This window comes from Homo sapiens, chromosome 10 (genome assembly GCF_000001405.40).
Source record: "Homo sapiens chromosome 10, GRCh38.p14 Primary Assembly".
Classification (NCBI taxonomy): domain Eukaryota; kingdom Metazoa; phylum Chordata; class Mammalia; order Primates; family Hominidae; genus Homo; species Homo sapiens.
Genome location: NC_000010.11, coordinates 31,505,722 through 31,532,497, shown reverse-complemented (window position 1 = coordinate 31,532,497; position 26,776 = coordinate 31,505,722). Strand labels below are relative to the sequence as shown.

At 36.8% G+C, this 26,776-nt stretch overlaps 1 protein-coding gene across 56 annotated transcripts in view, besides 3 other annotated features; it reads right to left on the bottom strand.

The window, feature by feature from the left end:
* The window catches only part of ZEB1 (zinc finger E-box binding homeobox 1), a 211,388-nt gene continuing 187,305 nt past the window's right edge, over positions 2,694-26,776 (bottom strand). For all 56 annotated transcript variants that reach the window (NM_001323643.2, NM_001323638.2, XM_047425691.1 and 53 more), the window contains 5 exons: positions 21,623-21,825; positions 17,790-17,895; positions 10,562-12,372; positions 8,385-8,565; positions 2,694-5,826 (listed from right to left, as the gene is read on the bottom strand). In NM_001323643.2, the coding sequence (NP_001310572.1) occupies positions 5,234-5,826; positions 8,385-8,565; positions 10,562-12,372; positions 17,790-17,895; positions 21,623-21,652 (2,721 nt within the window). In that variant the 5' untranslated portion in view covers positions 21,653-21,825 and the 3' untranslated portion in view covers positions 2,694-5,233. The remainder of the gene's footprint in view (positions 5,827-8,384; positions 8,566-10,561; positions 12,373-17,789; positions 17,896-21,622; positions 21,826-26,776) is intronic.
* Positions 23,327-23,833: an enhancer, noted in NCBI's record as "H3K27ac-H3K4me1 hESC enhancer chr10:31797593-31798099 (GRCh37/hg19 assembly coordinates)". NCBI's record gives its function as "activates a minimal SCP1, AML or CMV promoter by ChIP-STARR-seq in primed H9 embryonic stem cells {active_cell/tissue: H9 hESC(primed)}" and the evidence as "EXISTENCE:reporter gene assay evidence [ECO:0000049][PMID:30033119]".
* Positions 23,834-24,342: an enhancer, noted in NCBI's record as "H3K27ac-H3K4me1 hESC enhancer chr10:31797084-31797592 (GRCh37/hg19 assembly coordinates)". NCBI's record gives its function as "activates a minimal SCP1, AML or CMV promoter by ChIP-STARR-seq in primed H9 embryonic stem cells {active_cell/tissue: H9 hESC(primed)}" and the evidence as "EXISTENCE:reporter gene assay evidence [ECO:0000049][PMID:30033119]".
* Positions 24,771-24,971: a silencer, noted in NCBI's record as "peak919 fragment used in MPRA reporter construct". NCBI's record gives its function as "represses an SCP1 promoter by STARR-seq MPRAs in K562 erythroleukemia cells {active_cell/tissue: K562}" and the evidence as "EXISTENCE:reporter gene assay evidence [ECO:0000049][PMID:32103011]".

The window sequence follows — 26,776 nt, the reverse complement described above, 5'->3', positions numbered from 1 at the left end:
GCCAGCAATATGCAGTACAATACTCTTGTGATGTTGCAAAGCAGCAGTGAGCCGCAGCTTCCACTCAGCCACATGATCATGAGGGTAAACGACTGATATGCCACAGTGTACTACGTTGCCAGCATTCAACACGTTCTTATAAAATAGGATTTGTGTGAAATGATTTTGCCCAACTGTGGGCTAATTAAGTGTTTTGAGCATGTTTAAGCTAGGTTAGGCTAGGCTATGATGTTCAGTAGGCATACTAAATGCATTTTTGACATGGTATTTTAAACTTATGATGGGTTTGTCGGGCTTTAACCCCTGGGAAGAAGCATCTGCAACTGATTTTTGAATGCTTAAAAAGCTTGCACTCCTAGGATAAATCTCACTTGGTCATGATCTATTTTCCTTTTGATATATGGTCCAAATTGATTTCCTAAATTTTGTTAAAAATTTTTGTATCCATGTTTATGAGCAACATCAATGTGTATGTAGATTTGTTTCTTGTAACGTTATTGACTGGTTTTGGTATTAGGTTAATGCTGGCTTTACAGGTGAAGTGGGAAGTGTGTTCTCCTCTTCAATTTTATAGATGAGTTTGTGTAGAATGGGTACAGTTATGTTCCTTACATGTTTGGTAGAATTCACCAGTGAATTTGTTTGGGCTGGGAATTTTCTTTTTGGGAAGATTTTTAACTAGAAATGTAATTTCCATTGATAATAGAAATTTAGGTTATCTATTTCTTCTTGAGTGGATGTTGGTAGTTTGAGTCAAGAAATATGTCATTTTCATCTAAGTTGCCAAATTTACTGGCATAAAGTTCATTAATATTTCCTTATTATTTCTTTATAGGCTCTGTAATGATGTGCCTCTCTCAGTCCTGGTATTAGTAATTTGTATCTCTTTTCTTCTTTCCTTGATCTATCCTGGTAGAGGTTTATCAATTTTACTAATCTTTAAAAAAATAGATTCTGATTTCATTGATTTACTCTATTTTGTTTTCTGTGCTATTGTTGTTATTTCCTCTTTCCTGCTTGGTTTCGGTTTAATTTTGTTTTGTTTCATTTCTTAAGATGGAAGCTTAGATAAGATTCAATCCTTTATTATTTTCTAATATAAGCATTTAATACTATACATTTTCTTATATTCATTGCTTTTGCTGCAAGCTACAAGTTTTGATATGTTGTATTTACCTTTAGCTCATATTTTATAATTTATTTTTAACCACATCTGGGCTAATGTGGTGTCAATTTTCCAATAATTTGGGGGATTTTTCAGATACATTTGATTTACTGATTTCTACTTTAATAAATTCTTTTGTAGTCAAATAAAATACTTTATTTGCAATTCTTTTAAATCTGAGAGTTGACTTATGGCCCATAATATGGTCCCTCTTCATGAATGTCCCATGTGTTAGGAAAAAAGTGTGTATTCTGCTACTGTTGAATAGAATGTGAGCTAGAGCAGAGGACAATGTTCACATATTGAACGTCCTAATATATTCTCCCATTGATAGGATGAGATGAAATCTGTTCTACATTTTCATGTCAACATAATCACTGCACTTTAATAGTATCCTTTTCAAGGTTCTTTTTAAGTTTGCACACAGATTTGAAAAATCTCATTCCCCATCCATTCTTTTCCACCAGGCTATGAAATGTATATTGCTCTTATATTTTCCATTCATATACTTCAAGGCGAAGATTGAGATACTGTAAACTATTCTCACATGAGATGTGATACAGGCTAGGTAAGAGCATGGATTTCGGGCTGAACATAGTGGCTAAAGCCTATAATCCCAGCACTTTGGGAGGCCAAGGCAGGAGGATTCCTCCAGCCGAGGAGTTCAAGACCAGCCTGGGAAACAGTGAGACTCCCTGACTCTCCAACAAAAACAAACAAACAAACAAACAAACAGCCAGGTGTGGTGGTGTATGCCTGTTGTCCTAGCTACTCAGGAGGCTGAGGTGGGAGAATCACTTGAGCCCAGGAGGTTTGAGGCTGCAGTGAGCCATGTTCACACCACCATACTTCAGCCCAGGCAATAGAGCAAGACCCTGCCTCAAAAAAATAAAAAAGAAGAAGCATGGATTTGGACTCAGATAAGCCTATGTTCATATCCTCATTCTGCTACTTAAGACGTATGTGTTCATGGGCACATTGTCTTTATTTGTATTTTTTATGAGGCTTTTGTGAACATTTTGATAGTAGTGAAATACCTGTGCATGGCATGAATAAATAATATATGGCCCTGCTATTATTTTTGTTGTATGTCATATGAGGGAATACTGGGAAAGGTCCATGTACGTTTTCTTTCTGAAAAGTTCTGGTAATGCCTAAATTCCTTTATTAGTCATTTATCCATACATATCAAGCACTGCCCTCATTGAACTTTATATTACATTGTGGATACCTCCTAAGAAGAGTATCTTATTCTTAGTTCCTAATCCTTTTCAGTCAGTCTGTTTATTGGTAGCTGCTCTCAGTGACAGGGGAAATCAGGCAACATGGTAACGAGCACCTACGAATATGGGGTCCTAGAAAGGGAAGTGAATTCTACAAAGGAGAGCTGACTAGGATCAGTCCTATCGCTCCTATTGGAGGTAGTCATGTCCACAAGCCAGCAATACCTGTGCCATATACCATGAGGTTAAGCACCAGGAAGACACCTAGAAATACACTTTCAAAAAATCAAAATAGTAAGGCAATAGAAAAAGAAGGCATAATTTATTGTGTCTATTATGACTAGTGTTTAATAAGACTTATAAGAAAATAATCAAATTATTAGATCATTTAACATATATTCTGGAATTAGAAGCAAAAAAAGTGAGAACATAGCTGAGCTCCATAAACATGCAAATTATATTTTTATTCAACAAATATCTGTTGTCCCAACTTATGCCAGGCACCCTGTTAGGCAGTGAGGAATGTGAGAGTGACTATGACAAATGTGGTTCCTGTTCCTAGTGGGGAAGGAATATAAATAATAGTATCAGAGGTATGATGACAGAAGTGCAGGAGCTGAGAGTCAGAAAGGCATCTAAACCCAGGCTTCCCTGAAATGACCTGAAGCATGAAATGCGGAGGATTAAGGATTTCAGGAAGAAGGAGCAACCTGTGAAGAGGTTTTGTCAACTCTGACCTCTCCAGAAACATTTAGCCACAAGAAAATCCATAATTTAGTGGAGAATGTCTAAAACATTTAGTGTTACCCAAATTCAGCTCAAGATGAATCAAATGCAGGATGACAATGTACCCCATTTCACAGTTTTCCAAAGAAAATACTGATAATGATGAAAAGAATGACAGCAGTTCAGGCTTGTTGATGCATTTTATTGTGAGATGGGAGTCTGGTAAAAAACTAGAAAATGACCATGATGTAACAAGGAACTTAAAAATGAAGAGTCAGATCTGTAACTTACATACATGAATACAGGAACAAATTGGCACAAAATGTTAAACATTGTTCCCAACACTGTTTATAGAAGTTAATCCTAATTTGGCTTACTAAGGAAATGAGAGTTGTATGGTTAGGCTGATTTCTTAATAAAACTGCAGAGCATCATGCTATTAGTCACACAGTGAATTTCAAAATTTAAGTTTTATATTAAAAACTGGGTAAAGGTAAAATGACTTGATTGTAGTTGTAAAACTAATACATTCCCATTTAAGTTCTGTTCTACAGTCCAAGGCAAGTATAAATGTTAACATAACACTGTTAAATCAAATCTCAATGCAGGAGAACCAATTGCATCTCTACTTTAAATCTTATCAACTTTCCAAATTTTCATACTAAAATATATTATTGTATTAATACAAACTACAGTATTATACACTACACTGTGTAATAAATAAAGAAATATAAAAATAAGACACATAAATATAAAAGTTTTCTAAAACTAAAAGTACATATGTCAGTAAGAAGGGTATTAATACTGCCAGGTTTGAAGACATACAGTACAAAAATGTTGCACAGATCTATAAACTAAAAGAAATAAAATAATACTGATAGGTAAAAATCAGCTAATGTTGTTAATAAATTGGGTCCATAATAACTAACATTTGGAAACAGTTATGAGCCAAATAACAATAGCATGTCCATGTCTGAAATGCAAGTACATGGATAAAGCAGATTAGAAAATTTCCCTTTCGTTTCTGTAGAGAAATTCTGAAAATCAATCAACATAAAATCAATACCGAGGAATTGAAGGATGAAATGTCCCAGTGTTTCAGTTTCTCTGACAGAGTCAGTGGTTTTAAGTTTTATTTGGGAATTTTGATACAAGAGACAAATCAACAAATGCTAGTTATTGTAGGCCACACATTGGATGAAGGCGGGTTAGAGCCTTGAAAATACTGAGAAATGGCACTTACAGCACACAGGTCTTGCTTAAGGCCAAAGGAGATACAAAGCTTCATGTCATATCCTTCATATGTTACCACATATTCAAACACAATCACAAACACTGATTCTGATGATTTTGCTGTCCTTATCAGATTAACATTGTTAGTCCCTGCAATCAGAACTCAATGGCAATCTTTTGAACTCCATTTTAAACCACGTGAGTAAGAAACTTCAGTTCTTCTATCAGCTGCTTTCTTAAGGCTAACAATACACTTTAAATGATAATACGCTCTACTAAGACATCTAAATATTAGAAATTACTACCTTCTAGACTGAATTTATAAAAGGTAGTTAGCACGGGTTGGAACTACATTATACTTCTCTGTGAAGGGAATTTTGTAGTGCAGAAGTTCTCACATTTTAAAAAACATAATAAAATACTGAAGCGGATTTAGCATATGTTTACCAATAAAAAATTATAAAATTTCTCCCAATTGTACAGCTTAAGAATAAACCAACATAAGAGTGATAATACTGATAAGATAAAACAATGCCAGATGCATATCTAATTAATCAGCTTCCTTTAACCTCTTGTATTGTTGCTCTCTGAGTCATTAAGGTTTTCTAATCTGCTGCATGTTACAAACTTGTTCCTAACTTTGAAAACTGCATGAAAAATTACTAGGTCTGAGGTTCAGGCACACCCGGATTTATTTTGTGTGTGTGTGTGTGTGTGTGTGTGTGTGTGTGTGTGTGTTTTGTATTTTGTATTTTTTTAGTTTTTACTTTACACAGTAGTGAACAGGAATCACAGCATACAGGTTACTGTGTTTCCATGAAAAGCAAGGATAATATTGAACGAAATTCATTATCAATTAGAATTTATTTTCCTTCTAGAAAAACGATTAGGCTTCATTTGTCTTTTCTTCAGACACTTGCTCACTACTCTCGCCTACTTTTTGTCCTAAGCTGCTTGCTTGACTTTCAGCCCTGTCATCCTTCATCAGACCTTCAGTTTTTGCTTCTTCTCCCTCATTCTCTGCCTCTTCTACCTCTTCTTCTTCCACTTCTTCCTCCTCCTCCTCCTCTTCCTCATCCCCTTGTGGTTTTTCACATTCTTTTTCTTCCTGCAATTCTTCCATCTCTTTATCCTCCTCCTCTTCCTCTTTTTCACTGTCTTCATCCTCTTCCCTTGTCAAACTCTCTCTCTCGTCCGAGTCGCCCTGTGAGGGAGACGCCCTGGCACCCACGTGCTCATTCGAGAGGATTTCAGGCCCTGCCTCTTCCTGCTCTGTGCTGTCACGTTCTTCCGCTTCTCTCTTACAGTAGGAGTAGCGATGATTCATGTGTTGAGAATAAGACCCAGAGTGTGAGAAGCGCTTTCCACATTTGTCACATTGATAGGGCTTTTCTCCAGAATGTAATCGCATGTGTTCAATCAAATGATGTTTGTGTTTAAATGCCTTTTTACAGATTCCACACTCATGAGGTCTTTTACCTGCAAAATAAGAATTCTGTTAAATAAAATGGTGGTATTCAGCAAATAAAATCCTTATACGGTTTTTGGGGTACTTCATGTTGTAGAAAGGGGAGGGTTATTAGTTTCATTTTTAAAACATTTCCAGGTCCCAAACTCTTTGTAATATAATATTGCAATTTGGTTTGTTCTTTACATTAAAAAACGTAGTGCTCTACACTCTGCTGTGCAGATGATTAGGTCAATGGGAGCTACATGACATTGAAATGCCAAAAATACAAGCATCATGACAGCGAGGTGGAAAATGGGCCAAGTGCAGCTGGGAGGAGATGTCTGGTAGTGAACGAGCACAGTGAGGGCAGACAGGGACAGACTTGCTGCTCACCTTGTGTTCATTATCACTACAAGGTCCCTTTTTAGTCATTTTGTTTTCCTAGTCACAAGCTCTGCTCCCAGTGAAATTTTAATGTTTACTATACACTTTTTATATACGATAAAACTCATAAATATACAGTATATATACTGAGCTTCTTTAGAAAACCACAGCCATTGTAGTATCTCAGACTTTTTTGCCCCCTAAGAAACAAGTTTTGGCCCGTGAGGGCAATATTGCCCCTCCTGAGAACGCATGGGCTACAGGAGTGTTGCTGCCCAGACATGAAAAGGACTGGCAACAACTGATCATAGTCAGGATCGATAATGTCCAATTTCAGAGCTATCAAGCAGTTAACACTAACAAATGCAGAAATGATTTTTAATTTTAGAAATAGTGTAGTTTTTCATATATATTTTTCACTTTGATATTTGCTAATATTTAACTTTGCCTGAAGAGGAAGGGGATTTTCTAACTCTTCTTAGATCTCTGAAAACCAGAGGACTGAGTTACAAGGGGCTGATTTTGAGAGGTGTGACTTTCTCTTATGTAACCAGTTTTTAGCTCCAAGAACCTTCCAAGTGTCACTGTATGAATCCACAGATTGAAGAAGGAAAAACAATTCTATCTTTTCTCACAAGAGTAAAAAATACACTGAAACAGTTAAGAATATGAAAGATAAATATGGATACTGTAGTCATAATGGCTGGTAGTGGGGGCAGGGAAGAGCAGGTAGGGGATTAAAGAGCTCAGGATAAACCCAGCCCCTTCTACAGCAACCCATGTTAGAGAGAGACACAGGAGTGTGCTGGAGCCAGTTTGTACTGGCTGGAGAGAGTCTACTGCTAAATTTTCAGGAATTCTGCAAGCTGACATCACATTCAAGCTCGAAATCCACCATGATGGGAGTATTTATGCCACAAAAAGCTGCAAACACTACAAATCAGGGCTTCCCCACCCTTCAGAGAACCAGGTGTTAAAATTTATCAGTACTTCACTGATGGAAGGAATGAAATAGGCCAGGAGTTGGCAACTATTTTCTGTAAAGGGTAGTGAGTATTAAAGGCTTTGCAGGCCAAATGGTCTCTGTAGTAGCTTCTCAATCCTGCCATTGTAGAACAGCATGAAAGCTGACATAGACAAAATGTAAATGAATAGGCGATGCTGTCTTCCAACTAATTTTATTTACGGATGCTGATATTTGACTTTCACATAATTTTCATCAGTCATAAATATTCTTTTCATCTTTTCCAATCATTTAAAAATGTAAAAACAAAATCAAAAACTACCATTCTTACCTCATAGAAAAACATGCGTATGCTCACATTTGGCCTGTGAGCTATAGTTTGCCATCCCTGAGTCAACCTAAGGAGGCATATTTTGTGGCAGAATTACAGGATCTCAGAATTACAGGATCTTAGAATCTTCTAGTCCAACCTCTTAGGCAGAACTTCTTACTTAAAACAAAAGATCTTGACTTGCCAGGACAGCTTGCCGCATGCTTATGAAGCAGCTTTTTCTTTTATGAAGCCAGATCCTGTCTCCCTATGACTTTAGCCCACTGGTCTCATATTTTTTATTAATGGGTACTATGTACTATGTTTTTATTAATATAGCATAAGCTTGCATTAAATGAATGCGGACAGAATAAATGCTGTGTCAGCTTAAAGGAAATAAGTCATGAAAAAAACAAAAAAACAGATGAAGCAAAAAACCAAAAGAAAGGCACAGACCTTAAGTACTAGGTAGAAGTGGGCAAACAGGTGAAAATGGCCAGATCAGATAAGTAAAAAATAAGAAAATTAATTCTGGGTCAAGCGTGGTGGCTCATGCCTGTAATACCAGCACTTTGGGAGGCCGAGGTGGGTAGATGGCTCGAGCTCATTAGTTCAAGACCAGCCTGGGCAACATGGCAAAACCCGTCTATATCAAAATTGGCCAGGTGTGGTGGTATGTGCCTATAGTCCCAGCTACTCAGGAGGCTGAGATGAAAGGATGGCTTGAGCCCGGGAGGCGGAGGTTGCAGTGAGCCGAGATTGAGATTGCGTGCCACTGCACTCCAGCCTGGGTGACTAGAGCCAGACCTTGTCTCAAAACAAAATAAAAAAAAAAAAAAAGAAAGAAAATTCTAAAACTTTAGTTTTTAATTTTGCATCTTCCAGTATATCATATCATGGACACTTTATGTTTGTGTTCACTGACATACCTGTGTGTTCATATTTATGTCTCAATAATGAACTACTCTTTTGGAATATCTTGTCACACAAATCACAAGCATACATTCCATTTTCTGTCTTCCGCATTTTCTTTTTGGGCGGTGTAGAATCAGAGTCATTCTGATCCTCTACATTTGATACTCCTTCTGAGCTAGTATCTTGTCTTTCATCCTAGAGGGAGAAAGGTGTGAGAAAATGTAATTTAACATTAAAAGATAAACAAGAGATATACATAAAAGCATGAGATAAAGAACTACTTTAACTTATACTTTTATACTTTCAAGGACTTGACCAAAGCAAGCACACTGATCTTCACTGCACATGTGCCCCAAGGGTGGGGCCAGATCACAGGTGGAGATGACAAAGACAAGAGTGAGGTTGGGGATAACACAGTCAAAACCATAGCAAAGACATATACTCAACTGGTACTGGAAAGAAAGCAAGGACACCGAAAAGAAAGCATGTAAAATATATAGTAACAGAGTTTACCTAGTTTCATGTGAATCATTACTTTACGAGAAATTTGCAGAAGGTTTTAACTTATTAGTTTGCTAATTAATCGCTCATTACTAACTGCATCTTTTGCCTTCATTTTTCTCATTCTGGGTTTCACTAAGCAAAAGCTAACATTCTATTTTTAAAACCTGGTCTTTCAATTGTATCCTCCAGAACTTCAGGGTTCTTTAACCTCCACGGTCTCCTTGAAAAGAGAGAGGTGTGCTCTACCACTTGTCTAAGGAGCAAGATGGAAAAACAATGCAGGAGGGTCTATCTTTTTAACAGAAATAATTGCTAATCAAAATGAACCTTTAGAAACTCCAGGCAGTCTCATGGAGATAATTTTGGGCAGCACGTTCTTATGTAAGCCAAATAACCCTGCAGGGAGCCTGTTGTGGAACTGGGTCCCCTAAGATCTTCCTACCTTATCTAGAGTGTTCCACGCCATTGCCTCAAACCCACACATTTTCTAAAAGTTGAAGGTTTTTCACAACATTTCTTATGGCTCTATGAGGCAAGAGAGGTGCAGCCATTTGTCCCTGTCATTTGTGAGTGGCCCTGGTGCTGAAGTAACTTGATTCTACTTTCACTGCTACTTGATCTAGTCACGTGACACGTGAGTCTATGAAATGCTAAGGATGGCTCTTTTTCTATTCAAAGGCATGCAAAGTGTTCTGTACACTAAAAATTTAGAGGAATTCAATGATCACGTAAGAACTTTTTTTCAAGAGTTATCACAATTACAGGAAACCCAATCAATAGCAATATTTAAGGGAAAACAAAAGCAGCAAATACAAGTTTGAGCAGGATATTGAAATTATTATACTTATAGAAAATATTTGCATAAAATATCAAATTTGTCTCTAGTATTCATTTGATTCCATCAGAAATTGATGGAAAAAATGGGAAAACATCAACATCAGTGACATGGAAAAAGTCTGGACAATGAGGCATACAATAGCTCTATCCAAAACTATTGTGGATTTTGGGGTAAGACCAGTTCAAGGGTTCTTCCTGGACAGAATAAACACTGTTGTGGTAAACACTGTGATAGTTAAGGAGGAAAATGCATATGTATTTTTAGGTTCACAGCCACACTTCCTCATATACATTATGACTGAACACTGTTTATGCACAGTTCATAAAATGATCAGTAAATTCACAAGATGCGTTCTTTGTATACTTCATTCCTGTTTATTTAATTAAAACCTTTTATAAACAGATGTATTAGTATATAAAAGTGATAGATAAGTTTGCCTGGTATGAACCTGTGAATGGGAACATATTTTCATTAATTAATGACCATAATCAAGGCAGAAACTATTACTAATTTTAGGAATTTAGCTATAAAAACAGAAACCCAATTAGCGAGTATTTCAATTTTGTTTTTTGATTTCTAACTTCAAACAGGTTTTTAGCTGGGACTTAAAAATCATCTTTCAGTAGAATAGCATTTCAAACTTTAAGCTGGTAACAATACCCTGGATTAGCAAACAACCAACTGAAGACATCATGCCAGAAAAGTTAAAGCAAACATTGATCCTTTTAAAAATGACAGTTTGTAATAATCTAGTTGGCTCTACGGGACTGATATTTATTAGACAAAGTTAATTGAAATTAGTCAAATAGCATATTACTAGCCAGGTTCAGGATGGAGGTTATTTTTTACCTGATTTCCATTTGGCTGGATCACTTTCAAGGGTGGTTCTTGGACTGCAGGGCTGACCGTAGTTGAGTAGGTGTATGCCACCTGGGGAATCAGAATCGTTTGCTTATTGGCAGCTAGCGCTCTTAAGCATGGAACACTGTTCTGGTCAGCAATGGCCACGATTGTGGGTAACTGGGCAGTGACTGTAGGTATAGCGATATTTATGGGGTTGGCACTTGGTGGGATTACATTTACAACTGGTTCTGAGTCTGTAACACAACTGTCCTTTTGTGGCTCCTTTTTTGCGCAAGACAAGTTCAAGGGTTCTTCCTGGACAGAATAAACACTGTTCTGGTAAACACTAGTGATAGTTGACCTTTCTAATAATTCTCCCTGTTGCTTTGGTAGTGAAAGATCAAGAGGTTCTACTTGTGGCTCTTCTTGTGCACCCTCAGCTGTGTACAAGTAACCCTGTGTATTTCTGGATGAGGAAAGGTTTAGAGGTGATGGGGATGGTGTACTACTTCTGGAACCATTGGTGGTTGATCCCACTGGTAAAACTGGGGAGTTAGTCATCTTCAAAGGACTTTGTAGATTTACTGTGCTGTCCTGGGGTTCATTTGCATTTGCAGATTGAGGCTGATCATTGTTCTTGGCAGGGATATTTACTTTGCCTGGTTCAGGAGAAGATGGTTCAGAAGACTGCACTGAAATCTGTCCAGCTTGCATCTTTTCAAACCACTTTTTTACTACATCCAGTGGTAGGTTTACTGAATCAGCAATTTTTGAGAGCTCTTCTGCACTTGGTTGTGCATTCAAAGCATAATATGCTTTTAGGAGAGACAAGAGGTTCTTTAAAGGTGGCTGACTAGGAGACAAATTGCCATCTCCAGTAGCTGATGAAACAGAGGACTCAGGCTTCTCAGCTTCTGCTGCAGGGAGTGGAGGAGGCTGAGTAGGCTGCTTTAGGTCATAGTGCTTTAATTCTGGAAGTGCATTAATATCTCCTGGACAATCATCACACAGAAGACAAGTGCTATCATTCACCCCCCCTTCAAAGCTTTTGTCCTTCTCAGACTTAACAGTAAGATCTTCTGGTAACTTTTCACTTTTACAACTGTTTGTAGCGACTGGATTTTCTTTTTTTAAATTTTGAGGAACAACTTGAAGTTGGCTAGGCTGCTCAAGACTGTAGTTGATGATAATTTTGGTTGTTCCATCTTGATCAACCAAAGGAAGACTGATGGCTGAAATAACAGAATGGCCACCTTGTTGTATGGGTGAAGCATTGATTGTTTCTTGTTCTTTGGATGCAAGATTGGCTTGATTATTCTCCAACACTTGCCTTATTACATTACCATCTACCGCCACTTTAAGTACATTCTGAATATCACTTAAATTGATACTTATGGGAGACACCAAACCAACTGTTGGCAGAACAACAGCTTGCACCATGCCCTGAGGAGAACTGGTTGCCTGTAATGGGCCACCACCAGTGAAAACCCCATTTTGTAAAGGGGTTGAACAGTTGATTCCTGAAGCAACCACTATGGGTTTGAATTCATAATCCACAGGTTCAGTTTTAATTTGGTTAACAGAAAGTTGTTCTTGAAGGGGTTTATTCTCTATCTTTTGCCGTATCTGTGGTCGTGTGGGACTGCCTGGTGATGCTGAAAGAGACGGTGAAGAACACTGAGATGTCTTGAGTCCTGTTCTTGGTCGCCCATTCACAGGTATCAAGCTGATACATTTCTTACTGCTTATGTGTGAGCTATAGGAGCCAGAATGGGAAAAGCGTTTCTTGCAGTTTGGGCATTCATATGGCTTCTCTCCTAAACAAACAAACAAACAAATTATATTCACTGAATTATTACATATAAATTTTTATGTATCCTCATTTCCCTAAAACAAGCGGTATCAATTTTAAAAAGAAGACTGCCATGCATGCTTGTGACAGAACTGTATTTAGAATAAACTTTTTAGCTTCAAAACCTACATAGATGTGATGAACGCTAGTAACTAAGTCTGAGGTACATGTTCTGCTAACCAATCATGGAATCTTCTCAGCATATGTGTATAATATTTCCACCAATCTTTATAACTTCAAATAATTCTCAAGTATCAAAAGTAATTACATTCTACTCTTTCAAGTATGTTTTTTCTTATCCCATTTCACCGACCTATATAATTTTCTATATTTTACTCTACTCAACCATCTGTAGGAGAAATATTAAAGAAAAGAAAAATAAGTAAAATGTCCCATATGACTTAACAAGTATGAATATCTATCTTTGATTAATAATAATTCCTGTACCCATAGGGCTTTCTTGAAAATAGTTTTTCCCTAATGGGAGGAAAACTTATATAAGATATTCTATAAGCATTGGCTTATTAAACTGAAATGTATATACTCCCAGGATAAACACTGTAGTGGGTATCAAAGCACCTTGGAGTTTCAATTTTAGTGACAGTGGATATGATAAAACATTATTTTTATATTAAAACAGAGAAAAACACATTTGTGTGACTTGCTAGGAAAAGCCACGCACTGTCAAAGTAGCCTTTGGCTTGCAGAGGCTTCCCTCAAGCTGCTTCCCTAGACTCTGTGGGGTAAAAGGCATTTATTCTCCTTGGCTGTTAGGGATACTTTGGTAGAAAATTTTGAAAGCACCGAGCTAAATGGAATATTTTCCTACAAACCTAATGTTTCCTTTGAGTTTTAAGTTATAGTTCACTAATTTATAATTTAAAGGTTACAGACTATAAGCTTCAGTAAGGCAGGAGCCTCTGAGGCTTGTTTGCCATTTATCCCTTGCACCCATCAAAGTACAGGTTGCAAAGATGCTCATTAAACCTTTTTTGGATGAGTGAATGGCTAATTGTTGAATGATGAGATGTGATGACACTGATTTGTCTACTTAGTATCAAAATAAAACTCTCCATCTCCTGCTCTTTTTAAGAATTAAAATGAAAGCAGTGAGGAATCAATTTAAGCCCTACTAAAAATTGCTTAATAGTAACTTCAATGCTATAGTTTAAACATGTGAGTTATATTTTCTAATAAATATGATTATTTGAAGAATCATATATAAGAATTGGAAGAGATTTAAGAAACCCTTGTAGTACAGCCTCCTTTTCAATGAAGAGTTCATTTCATATCATTCTTGACACCAGCTAATCTCTGCTTGAGCTTCTTTAATAAAAGGGGAGTTAGGACCTGCTGGACAGCCCTGCACAAGATGGTCCTGTCTGGTTCTGTTGAGGTCCATGGATTTGGGTTCAAATCCTGGCTCCATCACATAGTATTTTCTTAACCTGTCCAAGCCTTAGTTTTTCAATGTGCAAATGCAGATACATTCTCATTGGACTGTTATAGGGGTCATATGAGATTATATAGCAAAACTCTTAGTATGCTCTCAACAAATGCTAGTCACTTTTTAAAAAGGCAATTCTACTAAGAGACAGGCTGAGTTTGAGCCAAAAAAATAGCTATGATGCCTATTTCCCTATCCTAGTTTGTCCTGATGCCACACAGAACAAGTGTAACTTTTCTTCTCAAGTCAAACCTTCAAATGGATCAAGAGCTGCTATATGTATTCTTAAACTTCTCTTATATAGGTTAAATATACCTAGGTCCTTCAAACATTCTGCACAGGATGTGGGTTTTAGAACCCTTACCTGCTTGTTAACCCACCTCTGGGGATTCTCCAATTTATCAATATTTTTCCAATGCGATGCCTGGAATAGGATTCAATTCTCAAAATACAACAGACAAAAGTTTCCAGTGGGGGTAAAACAAGGAATATACTCTAGTACATCTCTATTTTAACACTTTTAATTACTTGATAACATTTTTACATGAACTACATGCTTATTTTCCTTCTAGAGACGCTAGAAAGATAAACATCTATAAATACAGACTATTTTTTAAAACAGGGGGACAGAAATGGTACGTAAGGGAATGACTTTGGGTCAGGATGACTACATCACAGCCCTAGCTTTGCCATGTACTACCTGAGTGACCTTGGACAAGTTAATTAAGCCCTCTGAGCCTCAATTTTCTCATCAGTAAAAAGTAGAAAATAATAAAACCTACTCCATAGGGTTATCCTGAGGACTATATGAATTAATGCATACAAATAACTAACATGTGGCTATACATAGCTAAGGATCCAATAAGTGCTAGTTATCATTATTATTGTTAAAAATTATCTTGATATTTTATCATTGCCAGAAAGAAAGTTTACACAACAATTATTCTAAAGCCAAAGTCACTATATTTGTTAATTTAAAACTCCTTGTTTCTAGCTTCATAGCTTTACAGTTTATTAGTTAGGCATATCACTAATTTATCTATGGAGGTTAGGGTTTACAAGTATTTTAGCCTGAAGGTTACATCAGGAAGTTTCACTACTCAAAGTTCGGTATACTATGTATACTGACTTTTTTTTTTTTTTAATGGCTAAGGTGGGTGTTTGGCTGCATCTGATACAAAAATTTTCCAGGCAAAAATTACTAAGACCATGGAAAATTATTTTTGGGGGTGGACCACAGCCATATGCAGGTGTTCTTTTGTCTCTAATCTGAGTGGAGGTCTGGTAGCCTTTTCCTCATGATAGCTCAATTCCTACAGGTAGAATCAACTAATTATTAACACACACGGTTCTGCATAGGGTCATGATCAAAATTTTTTGGGTACCAGTATTTAGCAACAATATAGGTAATTTTAGAGAGTATAATTTTGGATCCTGATTCTCAACATCTTTTCAAAAGTCATGTGAAAAGAAAGTTATGGAGGTTTCCTAAAAGATATTCAGCTCTTCCATTATTAGATACCCTAGGCAGAGCTTTTCAAACTATTTGTGGTGAATGACCAGTTGGCTTTGTTTGGTTCTTTTTTAAGTTTCCAATCTACTGTGGACCAATATTTTATAAAATATAGTAAAATGTCACAAAGTCTTGGTATAATAAATGCTAAATGCTTACTCTCAATTTCTGTACTTATCTCAAGAATGAGTAACACAGGGTTTGCAGACTGGTACCAGTCCTGAGATGTCACTTTGGGTAGCCTTTGCTCAAAAATCTTCTCTTGGAATCAACCAGACCATCAGAGAGCTGTGTACTTAAACTGTATCTACGTGGCCACCCTGGAGCAATGCTTTTCCTAAATAGCACTTTGGTGAACTATGACTGGCTTCTATTGAATAATCTGATTTAAAAAAGAAACCCTATCAAATTCTCTGCTGTGTTATTTTAAGGATATTTCTGAGGATTATATAACTTCTGTTTTGTTCTTTTCTCTTTATGTTGTTCCAAGGAATAACGTTTTCTATGGACTTGGTATCAGGAAGGAAGAATAGTCCTTTTTCTAGCAACTGATTTTTTTTTTTTTTTTTTTTTTTTTTTTTTTTTTTTTTTACTTACAGACACCCTGGGTCTTGGTTACTGATTGTCATTTTCTTCCTAAACCTTAGAGCTTAATTTGTGGTCCACTTCCAGCATATGTATGGCATTTCACAGCATTCATTTTGTCCCCCCAACAATTTACTCCATGTTAGTGTTTCTTAATTTTTCCTACATATTTTTAAATTAAAATTACTTGCTATGTTAAAGGTATACAAGCCTCACATTAGATGTTTTAAAAACAAGACAGAAATAAGTACATACATAATGAGTGGACAGTGCAGAGTACAGTGGGAGCTTTGTGTTCCATGATCTGGCCTAAATTTGCATTAGCTTTTGAGCAGTATCAGCATACAGTCAGCTCATATTAAGCTCTGGGCCATTCAAATTTACTACTTGATTGAGACTGATTTTTAAATACCAATGCTTAACTTTCAACTTCTTATTTCTAGACCAGTATTTCAATCCTTGTTCTGATTTATACTTTCCAACTTTGTATTATTTATAGATCTGATAAATCTTCCATGACTGCAATATGACAAAATGAATATGACTCATTATATACATGAATCTTACTGTTAGCTTTATTTTCCTTCCTCTGCCCTGATTTCAACATTTAAAAATCCCTCTTGAATTAGCTATATCTTTATTAACAACTTTAAATCATCTCTGGTAAGAAGGTAGGTTGTTAAAATATATTATTATTGATAAAAATTGTTCAATAGCATAGAAGCTAAGAAACAGAATATTGTGGCAGGCTGCAAAAGACAACCTCTACTTTTTAGAAACAATAATCAATGTGTGAAAATAAATGTTTTGGTAAGGATCTTGGTTTGAGCATTTTCAAGTGGTAACTTCAGCACGTTTAACATTGAGGGTTAGCCTTAATGAGCAATACAGTAAAACTTTTAGAAATGCAGTTCCAAAATAAAACATAAATATCATCAACTATGCTTCACAAAGCTATCCAACTATACTTTTTTTGTAGGAAGATGTTTGTAAAATGTAAATGTCAATACATAATTTTCACAAAATAAGCAATGTGTGAAAACCCATAATTTCCCATTCATGGTTAATAATTTTTTCATTAAAATGATTTAAATCTAAAATAACATATCAAAATTTATCAGGAGATGAACAGATTTCATAGGGCATTGTGGGATACCAGCAAGTTTTCCTTTTGCGCTTTTGTTCAAGTAGTGTCTCCAAAGAAATGCAAATATAGCTCTCTGTTTACTCTGAGTTCCTAAAATAGACACAACACTTTCATCGCATAATAGTATTAACCTTGTAAGTAATAATTTACAGAATGACATGGAATAGACAGGTGAAGATGGTGGGTGAGCACATTTTTCTTTCAGATTCTCATTAATGCTGTAATCCTTTCACTCCCTCTCATTGCCTCTATATCAGCTCTCCAATATTTTCTAATCTTGAGTTCCATTTCAACTTTTCTCAAATAAAGGATGTCTTCACTTCCCTATTCTCTTGTGCAAATCGTATCTCTATACTCTTTTCCATTCCCCTGCTAATTGTGCAAAGGAGGCAATGACATTTACATTCATCAGAAAGCTAATATGTTTTCAGGTTGTACTTACTAAAACATGCTATATTATCTTCTGATTAGGAAATCTGGAGTATGTCATACTATATTAATTTGATATACTTTAGTCAAAGGTTAAGACTCTAATAAAACATAAAATAAACATAAAATTTCTCCCAATTAGTGTATGCCAAAAGAAATGCAAGGAGTTTCTGATCATGTACGTAGATTACATGTTATGATATTTATTTATTACCACATATGCTATGATATTCAGGGTATAGAAAGAAAAAAAATATTTACCACTGTGAATTCTTAAGTGCTCTTTTAGGTGATGTTTGTATTTGAAAGCTTTTCCACACTCAGTGCATTTGAATTTACGATTACACCCAGACTGCGTCACATGTCTCTGTAAGAAAAGAACTGGTATTTTATTTGAAAAGCAAAAGATCTTTAGACTAAAGAACATCCAATCTACTAAGAGTGACATTTTTGTGAGCCTGATGGTTGTTTTGTTTTGTTTCTTAAAGACCTCAAATTGCAGCAGTCACAAAAATCTAACTCTTGAAATTATTAGCAGTTGTAGCAGTCACAAAAATGTAACTCCTGAAATTATTACCAAAAAGGATAGTGATAGTGGGGACAGAATTTGATACAGAAAAATACCAACTTTCTAAAGTATCAGAGTTCATCCTTTATTAAACAATATTCAAAATTAGTAAAAATAAAGTAATATATACTTTGCTAGGAACTAGAGGTTAACTTGTTTGCTTTCCAATTTATAGATATAGAAACCGCATCCACAAATACTGAATAACCTGTCTAAAGCTCACTCAACAGAACAAGGTCCTGAATAGAAGACAGGATTTTTCCTGTACTTTATCCTGTCTCTTCTATTTGATATTTCCAAAATGTACTTTAATCTGATGATTAAAAAAATACTTCCAGTTTTTTCAGCCAAATGTGGATTATTATAATAGCTTTCTGTCTGGTTTATCAAATTCCCATTTTCACATATTTCAAATGTATTCTTCATACTTAGATTAATCTTACAAAAGCACTGCTTGAATTGCATTCTATCAACTCCTCCTCATAAACTTCTGAAGGATCCCCATTAACCCCTCAATAAAGATTCCAAGTCTACAGATTCCAAGATTATAGTCCCTGAGTTTCCAAGATGATTCTTCACCAGTTTTTTATGACAAGTCTATGCCTCAGTCATTTAGCGAGCCATGGTTTTCTGCACACATATTGCTCCTCTTTATCTTTTGGCTTTGGTTTACATAATTTCTTACTCCTTCACTGTGTTTTCCCATAATTTTGACTACTAAGATTCTACCCAGCCTTTAACGGCTTAACTCAACTACTGCTTCATGCTCTTCCAGCTGGAATCTCCCTTCCTTTGCCTTTTATACAGGAAGGAAAGAGAATTAGTACTTACTCTGAATCAGGTCCTACTTCACTAAAACCCATGACTTAAAATACCAAATATATGGTGGCGACTCCCACATTTGTATCTCTAAACCTCTCCCCTTAACTCCAGACTTTTACAACCAACTGCTTATTTGATATTGCCAGTTGGAAGGTGATAGAGATCTGAAACTTAACATGATTAACACCAAACTCTTAATTTCCCTCCTGCAAGCCAGCTCCGTCTTTAGTATTTCCTATCTCTGTGAATAGCACTATCATTTATTTGGTTATAGCTTAGGCCTTAAACTTTGGAGTTATTCTTGATTACCCTCTTACTCATGTACCCTCACCCAATCCATCAGCAAGCATATGAACATATTCTGAAGCCAACAATCTTATTTATCTGTCTGCCACCAAAACCTCTGGCCTAGATTACAGCAAAAGCCTCTAAATGATCTCCCTGCTTCCGTTCTTGTCTCTCTTATCTATCATCCAACAGTCAGTGTTCCCCTAAAAATAAAAATTAAAAATTCCTGGATCCTTGACAGGCATCCCCACTGCACTTTAGAATACAATCCAACGTCTTTATCTTGGCCTATAATATGTAGCCCCCAACACCTCTCTGGCCTTACCTTTCTCCCTTTCACACTGGCCTCTGCTGTTCTCAGTGTGTGCCCAGCAGGTTCTGGCCTCAAGGCTTTCTTATGTTTCACTGTTTCCTCTGACTGGAATGCCCTTCTCCAATATTCCATGACTGGCTCCTTCACTGTATTCAGATATCCCATTCTCAGAGAAGTCTCCCTTCTCTGTGAAACCTAGCAGCTTTCATCACTTTCTATCCTCTTATCCTGCTGTATTTTTCTTCACAGTATGTATTATTTTATTTCTGTTTTATATAATCTACTAATGTATGGTCCCTAATATCAGGGACTTCCTTTTTGACTACTGTGCCTTTAACACCCAGAAGAGGGCCTCACATATAAAAGAAACACAAATGTTTGTTGAATAAACAAGTTAATAAGACTTGAAAATGCTTGTTAGTCACAGTATGATTCTCAAGGGCCAGCAAAATATACATTCTACCTTTTAGTTTGCTGCCTTGCAAACTAAATTGTTTCCAAGACCTCCCAGTTATATTTCCTCACATTACTGGTCCCCATATTTATCACAGCTCCTTCCTGACCTTAGTCTGACCCACGGTTTATATGTAAATCCTACTACATTTGCACCCACTGGAAAAATCATCATAGAATTGGTTTTCATGCTCATCAAAGATTTTGGAGTTTGTTTTTATAATGGCATCTTCTGCTTTCGCCACCAGTTCAATCTGTCCTCTCCTTTCACGATGGCCCTTGGAGTAGAGGGAATATGGTGGCAGCAGCTGCAGGATGGGTCTGCTTCCTGAATGTCACGTGAGTAGGCTCTTTCCCAAGCCTTGTCTACACTGTGGCCACATCACAGCGCTAAGGTATAAAACATACTCTTCTGCTGGTCTCTCTGATAAGACTCATTAATAGGGGCACTAGGAAGGAGACGGAGTTTGCCTTCAGTCGTCCCTTCTCTGTATTAATTTCGTCCTTCTCTTGGAGCTCTCACCTGTTTCAAGTGCTCCTTCATGGGCTTATGGACCATAAACCTATAAAATCTTGGTTCTATTCTCCCTGATTGCCACCCTCTTCTTATTATCTTGTTATTTCATGAGTACTGTTGCCAAAGTACTAAGGAAATAGGTTGACTCTGCTCAGTCATTCTTTTTCTGTTACAATTCTTTTTTGTTGTTTGTTTGGCCTAGCCATCACCTTAGCAAATGGTCTAACTTGTTCTCTATGGGATATGTGACACATATTAGGTACATCCATAGGGCAGAGTTCAGGTATGTAGATATACATCATTCTTTGATGTAAGAAACTGGAAATGTGGCCTAACCCCAACATGTACCCTCACAAACCCTGTGTGGCTGAAAATTTATTTAATTTTTAAAGTTAGAATTAAGGCAATATTAATTTCATTGTTGATGGCTGATAACTATGAGGACCTTGTAAAAGAGGAACAACTGATAAAAGCTTTTTTGACTTTAATCCTAAATATAGAACCAGCAATTTAAATGTAACTTATAGTTACAAAACAGTCTTGGTTTATACTTCTGAAAACTGGGGCACAGTGACACAGAAGTAGAATAAACCATATAAAAATTGAGTCTTCAGAATAAAAAAATCTAAACTTTAGATTTTTAGAGGAGGCAACTCCCTTTACTACGGGGGAAAAAAACCACGTAGCTTATACTGAGAATAAATAGTAACTGGTTCAAAGAAACTTAAACTTTTTAATTTGACTTTCTTGTCAATTTGGTTAGTATAATGTGGTTTATATAGTCAGTACTTATTTTTCCTACACTGAACATTTTAATAGAATGCAATTTAACATCTTCTAAACTTGAAGAATTAACTGTTATGGCATAAGCAAAATAATTAAGTCAAGATGGAAAGGGTCTTACCTGAACAAAATACTGAGTTACCTCTAAAGTAACGTTCATATGTGGTTTTTAATCTCAGGAATGACCAGATAACTCAAATAAATAATCATTTTCACTTTTATAAGGCTGCAGATATAGCACTGTTTAGTACATTCTTTTAACTTTCAAATATATTAAAATCCTTGCCTTCCATTGAGGGCTGAGTTGTCAAAATCTGGAAAGTTAGTGAACTCTCAGTCATTGCACTTACTTGATCTCTTCCTGATTTATGTGATGTCATGTGACGTTCAAGTTGGGTTCTGTATGCAAAGGTGTAACTGCACAGGGAGCAACTAAAGTTATCTTCATTCTTTTCATGACGATATTTAATGTGTTCTTTCAGAGAGGTAAAGCGTTTATAGCCTCTATCACAATATGGACAGGTGAGTAATTGTGAAAATGCATCTGGTGTTCCTGTAAAAGAAAGATCATATATTTTAAATTTAAAACATTCAGAAAATATTACCAAAGTTTCCACTGAGTCCCTATGCTATGTTCCAGATATTGTGCTACCCACTTTATATTTGATCCTCAAAACAATGCAATGATACTCATCTCTATTTTATAAGAGAGAGAACAGTGGTTTCCAGGAAGGTTAAATAACTTAAAAGAAAAGTCACAGAGCCAGAAAATGATGAAGTCAGGGTTCAAATACGGGCTGTCTGACCTTCAAGTCCCATTCTTTTTCCCTAAACCATAATTCTTCCCTTTTGTCATGTGATTAGCTAGAAAAGAAAACAAAAGTAAAATTAGAATGTAGGTTGTCTTTGTAAGTGTATACAGATTAAAGGGGAATTTTGTGCTCTACAACAGAGTCTATTGGTAACAATGGTATGTATCATTATTTATTTAATGTTTATTCCTCTGATTTTGAAAATGAAACTACCAAGTCATCATCATCAAAGAGTAAACAGTACACACACACTATGTTTCCAAGAGTCCCTTGCAGGTAGGTGTGGCCATAGGACTGAGTTCAGACCAAAAAAATAGTGTGTAAGGTGGGGAAGGAAAGACTGATGGGGGCCAGATCTAGGCCTGCTACATAAACACATCCCATGCATGACCCTGCTTGTAATTTCCCCTATTGAAATACACTGGCAAATCTGCTATATAACTGTATATGTATGAATATATATAGCTTTTAGAAAACAAAGGCATTCTGAATAAATTAGTTTACTGAATGAACTTTATTTTTACACTTGGAGCTGTCTAAGCCTGACAATCCTAAAATGTAATATTTTGCCAATTAATATTATTTAACTAAGAGTAGTTTTCCATATTTGACATTTCTTCAATGAAATAAATTAAGTGATATCTTTTTGTAAACATCATCTCTATTTTCATTTTGAATTCACTATAGAAAAACAAACCACCACAGATAATTTCATAAAATCTCCAAGTGCTTTCTGAACATATATTCCTTTATTCAAGTCCATATAAATCAAATGTCTTGCTCAAGGACCAGACTGCAAATAATAGACTGAGCACCTGAATGTTAAATAGTTGGTCAAATATGTTGAGAGAGGGGCTTCAAGATGGCTGAATAGAGGCATCTGGTACTCACCTCCTCTACAAGGAAAAACCAAAATAATGAGGTAATAATCACACTTCACATAGATCATCTAAGAGAGAACACTGGAATTCAACAGAAAAGTGACAGGAAACACCTCAAGTAAGGAAGAAGGAAGTAAAGCAACCTGCAAAGGCTCTCCAATGCAGGGAAAGAGTAAGTGAGAGACCCCCAGGGGTCCACATTCCCACCATGGACTCCTGCAATCCTAGCCATGGGAGAACCCCTGGACCATCGTGGGCTCTGAGACTAACACAGGGAGGTATGTGGAGACCACATGACAATGCTGCTCCGGAGAGGGAGCTTATGCTGAATCTGTACACCCCCTGAGTTCTAAGTAGCTACAGCACAGCACTATTTTGAGAGCCCAACCCCCAACAGACTACATCCTGTTGAGCCCCACTGACATACCTCCCTTCCCAGTCATCACTAATGCTGGTTGCGGCTGCTAAGGCTGAAGTGCAAGCCATTGGCAGTGACCATACCTCCTCCCAGCAGAGGAGCTGCACACATTTTTACATGCCCCAAGGACAGACTCCCCAACAGACTGCTGCCACTGTGGGCTTCCACCGCTGGGGACAAAGTGCTAGCCACTGGCAGCGACCCTAATTTCCTCAGCAGCTGAGCTGCTAAGCATTTATAAGGGACCTGAGGACAGGCTACCCCATCCACAGCCGCTGTCTGGGGCTAAAGCGCACATTTCCCAGCTCCCTCCCTATGGCTGCTGCCACCAAGAGCAACCTTGCCCTCCCCAGTAAGAAGGCCACAGTGCAACCACTGATGTCCTTACCTGAGCACTCTGCTGGTGGCCTGGGATCATCCTGCCCCTGCCATGATAGCCAATGCCTACACACACCACCAAGGGGCCTGAGGACAGGTCCATCTGGCCCAGCTTACCTCCTCCCCAGTTTCCGAGCATGCTATTCAGGGACGTGGGGATGACCCAGCCCAGTCCAACACTGTTGTCACCTGAACACTCCTCCTGGAGGCCTGAGGTTGGGTCCACCCAACCTGCTACTATCACTACAGCTGGCACCCTCCTGCATGCACCACCGGTAGGCCTGGGGACTGACTCACCCAGCCCATTGCAGTCACTGCCAACACCAGCGTGAATCACTAGGGAACCAGAGGGTGTCCTGCCACTGCTACTGCCATTGCCCAAGTGACATCCACTGCCCAGGAGCCTGAGAACCTGCCCACCTGCCCAGCTTACCACTGCCACTACCAGCACCCAAGCAAGCCACCTGGAGTTCCAAGGATCAGCCCAACTGGACCTGCTAACACAAGGTGTCAATGTGCCACCCTGTGGTCTAAGGACAGGTACTGTAAGCCCGTTACTACCACTGCTAGGGCCCAAGGAATGGTCCACCTGGCATCCCTGTCCCAGCCAAACTTCACCTCAGCCTCCACTAACAATTGCACCTAAGCCAACGAGGAAATCACGGACCCTACTCACACTATTTATAACGAAAGATATCATACAGAAATTACACTACCACATGTACCCAGAATCAAAGCCAAAGTGCCCTACTCAACCAATGAAAGCAAATCCAAAAAACCAGAATAATTGACTATTATACCAGATGTGTGGTATCAAGGTAAGAATACAAGAAACATGAAAAAGGAAGGAAATATGACACCTCCAAAAAATACAATAATTATCCAGCAACAGATTCCAATCAAAATAAATTTATGAAATCCTGGAAAATGATTAAAAATAATGATCTTATAAAAGCTAAGTGAGATAGAAGAAAACAGAAAAGCAACACAAAGGAACCAGAAAAACAAATCAGGATATGAATGAGAAATTTACCAAAGAGGTAAGTATCATAAAAAAGAACTAAACAAATTCTGGAATTGAAGAATTCACCGAATGAAAGACAAAAGACAACTGAAAGCTTCAGCAATAGATTAGGTCAAGCAGAAGAAGAATTTTAGAACTTGAAGACAGGTCTTTTAAAATAACCTAGTAAGAGAAAAAAGAATAAAAGAACAATGAACAAAGCCTGTGTGACATATAAGAAACTATAAAGTAACCAAATATTCGAATTTTTGATGTGTTATAAGGCAAAGAGGAAACAAAAGGGATAGAAAACCTATTTAATGAAATAATATCCAAAAATTTCCCAAGTCTAGCAAAGGATTTAGACATCCAGATACAGAAAGCTCAGCGCACCCCCAAATAGATACAATTCAAAAAGATCTTCTCCATGGCACATTATATTCACTGTCAAAAGTAAAAGACAAAGAGATATTCTAAAAACAACACGAGAAAAGTGTCCAATCACTTGTAAGGGAACCTCCATACGACTAATAGCAGTTTATCAGCAGAAACTTTATAGGCAAGGAGAGAAAGAAATGATATATTTATTCAAAGTATTGAAAGAAAAAAACCCTGCCAGCCAAGAATATCATACCCAGCAAAATTATCCTTCATAAATGAAAGAGAAATAAAGTCTTTCCTAAACAAGTAAAAGCTGAGAGAATTCATGACCACTAGACTGGCCCTACAAGAAATGTTTAAGGGAGTCTTATCCATGGAAGTGACAGGAAGATATCTACCATAATGAAAACACATGAAAATATAAAATCCACTGGTAGAACAAGTACAAATAAGAAAGAGAAAGAACTCAAATGTTACCACTATAGAAAACTATCAAACCACAATAATAATCAGTAAGAAAGAAAGGAACAAATGATACACAAAACAACCAGAAATCAAAATGACAGAAATAGGCTCTAACATATCAATAATAATAACATAAACGGATTAAACTTTCCACTTAAAAGGTACAGATTGGCTGAATGGATAAAAACTGTGACCCAGCTATGTGCTGCCTAGAAGAAATTCATCTCACCTGTAAAGATCCATATAGACTGAAAGTAAAGGGACAGAAAAAGATGTCCATGCAAATGGAAACCATAGTGAGCAGGAGTAGCTATAATGAGATAAACTCTTAAATCCAGTAAACAAAACAGTATAAGGGGACAAAGAAGGTCATTAAAGAATGACAAAGGAATCAATTCAGTAAGAGGATATAACAATTCTTAACATATATGTACCCAAGACTGGAGTACCTGGCTATATAAAGGAAATATTATTAGATCTAAAGGGAGAGACAGATTCTAATACAATAATAGTTAGGGACTTCAACACCCCTATCAGCATTAGACAGATCATGTAGAAAGACACTTAACAAAGAAACACTGAATTTAAACTGCATTTTATACCGAATGGATGTGAGACACTTACAGAACATTTTAACCAACTACTAAAGGATACATATTCTTGTCATCAACACACAGAACATACTCTAGGATAGACTGTATGTTGGGACCCATGACAAGTCTCAAACAAATTTTTAAAAATCAAAATCATATCAAGTAGCTTTTAGACCACAAAGTAATACAACTATAGATTTTAATAATAAGAGGAACTTTGGAAACTCTACACACACATGAAAATTAAACAACATGCTTTTGAATAACCACGGGGTCAAGGAAGAAATAAGGAGGAAAATTTAAAATTTCTTTAAATGAAATTAAAATTAAAATTTCTTTAAATGAAAATCAAAACAGAACATATCAAAACCTATGAAATATAGCAAAAGCACTAAGAGGAAGTATATAGCAATAAATACCTAAAACAAAAAATAGAAACATTTCAAATAATCTAACAATGTGCCTCAAGAACTTAGAAAAGCAAGAACAAAGCAAACCCTAAATTAGGATTTAAGAAGGAAAGAAATAATAACAATCAGAACAAAATCAATGAAATGAAGACTAAAAAACAAC